The 7,796-nt window shown below is 36.9% G+C and overlaps 1 pseudogene, besides 1 other annotated feature; it reads right to left on the bottom strand.

Moving 5' to 3' along the window:
* Positions 970-1,264: a silencer, noted in NCBI's record as "tiled region #11479; HepG2 Repressive DNase matched - State 12:CtcfO". NCBI's record gives its function as "represses a minimal TATA promoter and a strong SV40 promoter by Sharpr-MPRA in HepG2 cells {active_cell/tissue: HepG2}" and the evidence as "EXISTENCE:reporter gene assay evidence [ECO:0000049][PMID:27701403]".
* LOC100131425 (LSM5 homolog, U6 small nuclear RNA associated (S. cerevisiae) pseudogene) lies at positions 3,741-4,008 on the bottom strand (annotated as a pseudogene).

The following is a 7,796-nucleotide window of genomic DNA, read 5'->3' as shown; positions in this document are numbered from 1 at the left end:
GTAAAGACCAAGCTTCTCTCTGCATATTTCATAAAATTTCCCTCCATGTGGGACCTTCCCATCACTAAAGCAATGTAAAAATTAGCAGCCCAGACCATTATCAAGAGGGTAATGAGAATGAACTTTGATACTTGTACTTGGAACCTAAACCAGAGATCTTGTGGGCTCTTGATAAGCCAAGTTATATATACACAGGCTGATATTCAACCAATAGATACTGGTACAGTCATCCCAGTTATTAATATGTCAAAGTACTTCCCTCAGGAGTTGATAAATAGGTACTGCAGCAGTTGTTCCCCATCAGGTCCTCCCTACACCCATATGGAGCACCCTTATTTTCCCCTGGAAGCCCTAGCCATCGCTAGATTTAATTCATTGGTACCTATGCTGCATCAATTGTTAGATATTCTGAATCTATTCCAATAGTGTGTGCCAGTTCACACACATAAAAAGATATATTTAATATAATATCCCTTGGGAGGATGGACTTTTCAGTTCACCCAGTTGCCTAGCAATAAATGGAAACATTAGTTGGGTCCCCTGCCCTCCAGCTGTTTGTAGATATTTTGCTTAAGTAAACAAATGTGACTGTACCTGGTAATTCTACTCTTAACACACAAATACCAGTAACCTGGGGTTCTTCACATCTTTAAGCAAAGAAACTTTGGAAACACCTGATAAAGTTTATAATTGAAGAATATTTGAAAGACAACTTAAGCTTTAAGCATTAAGCTCATTAGAAGAACTAGACTTAGTGATCTGGTCCAGTAAAATTCTCGTTTAGAACCTATTAGGAATATTCTGCACTGAAAATCCTTGGGGGCCTCTATCAGTTCTATTATCTATTAGGGGAAGAAATACCAAGATGTGCAAAGTGGTTAGGAGTTGTTCCTAGTCAATGTCTTAGGAAAATGAATGCAGCTGTCATACATATATTAAAATTCTCCTTTTTCCCCATGGCAAGGTGGATAGGCAAATCATATCACAAGTTCTTATCCAGGAACTTTGCACCACAATCTAAACATGTCTCTTTCCTCTACCATGTTCAAGTTTCACTTCACTGCTAGGTTGCCCGCTCTGCTTTCCTTTGATTGTAGTGACATCTAATGTCAGAGTCAGAGAGTAGCTCAGCTCAGCTCCTGTTCAGTTTCCAAATTGACTCTTCAGGTTGTAAACCCACCTCCTCGGCAGACAGACAGCTCACTAGGATAATTTGTTGGGCCAAGTAAAACATGAACAAAACTGAATTAAACTTGTTTAAATTGAAATGCAATTAGTACTTGAATCATGAATTTTCAAAACTGGCTCCTTCTCCTCTTGAGAGAAGTCTACCCTCTAAAAAATCATGTTTTGGGAAAATACCTAATACATCAGTCCATCTTATTGCTAAGAGAGTTTTCTCACTAGTTCCTGGGCTTAGTGGGCTCACTTGAATAATAGTTATATAATAAATAAGAGAAGCTAATATTTATTGGGAACTCATCAACTATCATTTTTTAAATACTCATTTATTTTCTCTTCCAAAAAAGGGAGCAACTTGACCTTTGTATTTGCTGTCTTATCTTCATTAACTACCAAAGAGCCTGCTCTAGGGTAGGCCCACATGTTTGGGAAGGTACTGCCTGCTTTCTGTCACTTTTCATGTTCTCTCACATTTCATCATTACAACACTTCTGTGCGATAAATATTATCAACATTTCTATTTGCATTAGTAATTTCTCTGTGGTCATGGTGGCTACTGAGCAGGATTGGAACCCAGACATCCTAGCCCCAGAATAGAAGGACCACTGGAGGCTGGATGCTCAGGGCAAATGGCCCCATGATCACTTCTCCTCGCATAACTAACAAGTCATGACAATTGTTAAGGCAATGACAACAATGTTAGAGGAAGTATCACAAAAGGTGGGATTGAAATCAGTGGTCACACTGTGAAGTAAGGTGTGAAAAGAAAATTCTCTTTTCGTGTTCATGCTTGACTAGAGAATCAATTCCTTGTCATGATCCCCTATGGGCCCACTCCTCCAGATGCCAGAACCTGTCTACTCTCCTTCTCTAGGACTCCCACTCTTAACTACTATGCATACTGACTTCCATAGTGGAAAGAACACAAAATTTGGGTTCAAATGATCTAAGTTTAAGACCAGGCTCTGCTACTTACTGTGAGTTTGGACAACTCACTCAACCTATGTTAGGTTCAATTTAAAGTGGAGTAAATGGTAGCATTCTATACAAGATGCCAAACTCAGCCCACATTCTTCTATTTTGAATATAGTAAGGAGACAATTATACCCACTTGGAAATGACAGATAGATGTACTTAGTCAAACTGAAAATTCAAGAAATCTCTCTAAGACAGCACAGACAGATGTGAGGACTGACATGCCCATAATCTAATACGTATAAAAGACAGCCTGCAGGGCTTAAGGGAAGGGACAGCACCTGCCTCCAAAAGGTTTGCAGTGGGGCCTGAAAATAAAGCTAAGTCATGCAATGATTTGTGGGAGAAATTGTTCATTCTGCTGGCATTTCCAGGAAGTACAATAAAACCTGGAGTCTTCATGCAGTGGGGAGCTACAAAGGCAACCACAGTGTAAACCTGACAAAGGTGCTGGCTTAGGAAATGAGGTCACTCTGGAGGTTTAATAGCTGGCTAAACCCCTTACAGAAGCATCTTATCATACAGATATAAAAACAAGATCTGTAGTCATAAACAAAACAATTTGAAGCTAGAAAAGAGGTTTCAAACTGAAAAGTGTGATTGCTAACTTTTTTACTGTAATGGGAACAATAAAGAATAAACTGACTACTACAAGGATCAAATCGGTTAAAAAAAAAAAAGAGAAATTCAGGCCTCTGTGGAGGCAGACTAAAGAGATGCAAATTATAAAGGACACATAGATAATAATGTCAGATTTCCAATACAGATGGTCTTACTACGGTTTGACTTATAATTTTAACTTTATAATGGTGCAAAAGCCATATGCATTTAGTGGAAATCATACTTTAAATTTTGAATTTTGATCTTTTTCCAGGCTAGTAATATGTAGTAGCAGACTCTCTTGTGCTGGGCAGAGGCAGCGAGCCCCAGCTCCCAGTCAGCCATGAGATCTGGAGGGTAAATCAATACTCTACAGTGCAGTGTGTTGCCAAACGATTTTACCCAGTTGAAGGCTAATGTAAGCGTTCTGAACACATTTAAGGTAGGCTAGGCTAAGCTACAATGTTCAGTAGTTTAGGTATATCAAATGCATTTTCAACTTGCAATATCTTCAACTTATAATGTGTTTATCAAGATGTAACTCCACCGTAAGTCAAGGAACATCTCAAATCTGGAAAACAAGTTTTACAGAAATAAAGAGTTGATCATAATGAAAATCAATAACCAGCTAGATGATAAGAAGAAACACTTCTAGAAACTGAACACAGCCTTGGGTGTTTATAATTAGACACATTTATTGAGTCTTAGGCAAAATTAAGAAGTAGCAATTTATATTTTATAATACCTTGATGAATTTTTTAACCAAAACACTTCTATTTTAGTCTTCGAAGAAACTCTTTTCTTCTTTTCCAAGATAATCATGATTAACTTACAAAAATGGGTATACATCTTCAAAACATTTCCCTTAATAGGAAACTTAGCTTTACAGGATCTAAACACTAAAAGGCAAAAAAAAAAAAAATCTATTTTCTTTTCATTACAAGACAAAACAGAATCCAGCATAAGTCAAGGAAACACATTCATACCTCAGGTCCTCCTCCTCCATGAACCAACATTATTATATTATTTCCGTTTAGCAAAATCTGATCTAATTTAGTATTCTTTCTTCTGGTGGGATTTCAAACTCAGTGATATCTTGCAGTACCATATTGACAAAGTTATCAAATCCTAGAAGAGTATCAACAATTTCCTTATCAGTTTTCATCACAATGAGAATTTTTGATTCTTACATTTGTCTACAAGCTCTAGCAGTAGCAGCTGTAAGGAGCTGGTACTAGTGTTAGCCGCCATAACTGTGATGGAAATGGCCTTGGTTAACATTTTTTTTTTTGGACAGAGTCTTGCTCTGTTGCCCAGGTTGGAATGCAGCGGTGCCATCTTGGCTCACTGCAACCTCCGTCTCCCAGATTCTAACGATTCTCCTGCCTCAGCCTCCTGAGTAGCTGGGATTACAGGTGTGCAACACCATGCCCAGCTAATTTTTGTATTTTTAATAGAGACTGGGTTTTGCCATGTTGGCCAGGCTAGTCTCGAACTCCTGACCTCAGGTGACTCGCCCGCCTCAGCCTCCCAAAGTGCTGGGATTACAGGCGTGAGCCCACCACGCCCGGCCTTGATTAACATTTTTAATTTTAATAACAAGCAAATAATTCTACAAGCTTCTAGACAAGAAAAAAAGATAGGTCACACAATAACGACAGATGGTCCTCAAACCTTTCTTCCATACCAAATAGAAGATGGTGTACACTAAACAGTCAGAACCCTCAACAGCTATATCTAAAATGTACTGAACTATGAATAATCCAACATTCAAGCAAGCTCTCATTCCCATGAGATGAACAAAAAGGCATTTTAGACTTACAAAGATTAATTAATATCACCAATGTACCCTTCTTCTAAAATTATACACACACAAAAATTTTACCCAGCCTATTAGTAAAGTAAAATAAATAATGATAAAGATATGACATAAAAGAAATTTCAATCAAAAATGAAACTAAATGTCAAAAAAGTTTAAATATTTAATTATGAAATAAGCAAATGCTAAATAATGTTATCAATTAAGATGCTGCCTGATAGCTAAAAGTAACAAAAACTCAGCTGGCTTAAACAATACGAAGAAAATTTTTTTCTTAGAAAAAGCCCTAAGATACGACAGTTTCAGGCTGGAGGCTGGTTAAAATGGTGATTCTAATATTTTAACCAGCCTTCAGCCTGACACAGATTCTCTCCATCTTTCTCTCAGTCTCTTTAAGGTACATCAACGTTGTTCTTCCTAAGCATCCTCATGAAACTAAGGTGGCTGTCAGAGTTCAATACATTGCATCCAGATCTGACTATATCAGTGGAAATGGGAGCCATTTTCTTTACATTTATTGATTTTTATTAACGAGAGGAAACTTTCCTTATATTTCCCCTATTTCATCAGCAAGAATTATATCACATGTTTATGCCTAAACCAACAGTGATTTAGAAAGATGACCACCATGATTGGGTAAAAATAGACCAGGGGTTCAGCCTCATCACTAATGACATTTTGGGATGGATAATTCTTTGTTGGAGGGAGCTATTCTGTACATTGTTTAGAATCCTCCTTGCTCTCTACCCACTAGATACCTATAGCACCCTCCCCAATTGAAACAATCAAAAATGTCTCCAGACATTGCCAAATGTACCCTGGTTAAGAACCACTGGAATACACTAATCAATCTAGCCCCTGAGTCTGGCTATGGGGCCCACCTTAAATATAAAACAGCACGGTAGAAAGGGAAAAGCTGAACCAAATCAGTGTTTCAGAAAAGAGAGCTATATGAAAGAAAAATAGTCTTAAGTAAACAACCAACAATATTTTGTACAGTAATTCTTTAAAAACAATATATAGCAATGGTAAAAATATGAACTTAAAATTCTGTATTAATCAACTAAGAGGGGTCAGGTGTAGTGGCTCACACCTGTAATCTCAGCACTTTGGGAGGCTGGGCAACTTAGTGAGACCCTGTCTCTACAAAAAACACAAAAATTAGCTGGGTATGGGTGGCACGTGCTTGTGGTCCCAGCTATTCTGGAGGCTGTGGTGGGAGGATCGCTTGAGCCCAGAAGGTAGAGGCTGCAGTGAACTGTGATCATGCCACTGCACTCCAAGCTGAGAAATAGACTGAGGCCCTGTCTCAATAAATAAATAAATAAATAAATAAATAAATAAATAAATAAATAAAATCAAGAGGGAAATGAATGAAGAGTTTTAGCAGGACTGAGGACTGTCAGTGTATGGTTTAATCATCAAGCACAGAAAATGTCAATTTGTACTTACAAGAATATACAATTTAGTTGACTTTTAGAAATACATCTTTGAAAACTAATTTTCATTGTGGATTTGTATATACAATATTTAGCCCTTAAGAAGAAGATCAACTAGAGGTGCTATATTCTCTTTCAGGAGATAATCTTCTATTAGAATTTTTGAAGCTATCAAAATAAAATGATTCCCTATGGAAAGATTCATAATTTCCCTAGAAACATACTTTATTCTATGGCTTGGTGCTTTTATGTCTGCAACTTATGAATATATTTATTTTTTCATGTTAAAACATAACTTTTAAAACTCGGATCACATTATAACACCTTATTTGCCATCTTAAAAATGTTCTTTATCCTCTAATCTCATGGTAAGACCACATCCATATTCTCCAGCCTGTTGAACGGAGCCAAATGCCCCACACATCACTCAAGAGCCCTACCACTCTTTCCTCCCCACACCCGTTATTGTCTCCCTCCTTTCCCTGCTTCTGTTACTCTCTGGCTCTGCTTTCTTCTTCCCATTTTCTGTATCTATTCTTCATCTACTTGAGAACTATTTGGGGATCTCACTTCAGATTTACCATGGCTGCCTCCCAGCTCTGCACAATCCATTTTAATTTTATTCATGTCTTCCAAAACAGGCCCTCCCTGACCTGGGCTGAGGAAACTGGCCAGGCTGAGTCCCTGATCTCCACCATGGCAGGAAAAAATGATATGCCTGTTTAAGATATAAAAGCATTTTTATGGGAAAAAGTACAAAGTTATCACGACAAGCTACAGGTAAGAGCCTGATTGAAGGACTTGAATCTCTAATCCAAAAGCTACATGCACAATTCTACTTAATCTTACTTAGCTCACAGGGCAAATACCAAGGAATAAATCTCATTTATATTTATATTGTAAAAATACCACAGGTTTATCAAGTGTTTAGATGTAATACCCTGCAAGTTCAGAGACTTTATGCTTAATGGAAATAAAACATTATTGTTTTGCAATGGGAAGTGTAACTAATTTTGACAGAGCAAGAACCTGTAGGTTACAGACATTGATTATGAGAGGCTTATAAAAACACTATGCATTTAAATGTTTGGTATAAAATTGCACAGCTCAATAATGAATTCTGGAGGTATCTATTCCTTTAACCCAAAGAGTCTTTTTTCTCCAAACCCAATATTTTTAAAAATAACTATTTGCCTCTACAGGATTTAGAAAACAGTGATACATAAATGCTCTCTGCAAGACATTATTCTCTTTCATTTACTGAATAGTTTCACAAATACCTGTCCTAATATGGTACAATCTTCAATATTATTACATAAAAAAGAGGTTCAGAAGTATTCATTGAATGGCACCATTTGTGTTAATATACAAACATAAATAGGTAGATGTATAAACCGTTATTGCCTCAAGAAGACCCATAGACTGGGCAAGAGGAATACCTACTTTCCACTGTCAGCCTTTTAAAATGTATATATATTTTCTTAGTAAGAGACTGATAAACTGAAATACAGACAAACAGATGGACACATACACACACACACACACACACACACACACACAAAGTGAATAGGTAATCCTAATCCTATATTTAACCAATGATTTATGTGACCAATTAAACTTGTAAAAATATAGAACAATGCCCTCAAAAGAATCAACTCCAAGAGCAAAACAGCTTGATTTATTATTAAAAGAGTATATAATTAGACACACTTATATTCTGTTCCTGAATAGAATGAAACAGAGAGGCCCTACAATTTTGTAGCTTGGAAATTTAATGAAAC

Source organism: Homo sapiens, chromosome 7, assembly GCF_000001405.40.
Source record: "Homo sapiens chromosome 7, GRCh38.p14 Primary Assembly".
NCBI classification, from domain to species: Eukaryota; Metazoa; Chordata; class Mammalia; order Primates; family Hominidae; genus Homo; species Homo sapiens.
Note: the sequence above shows the minus strand (reverse complement) of the source record. Positions and strands in the feature narration are given on the sequence as shown.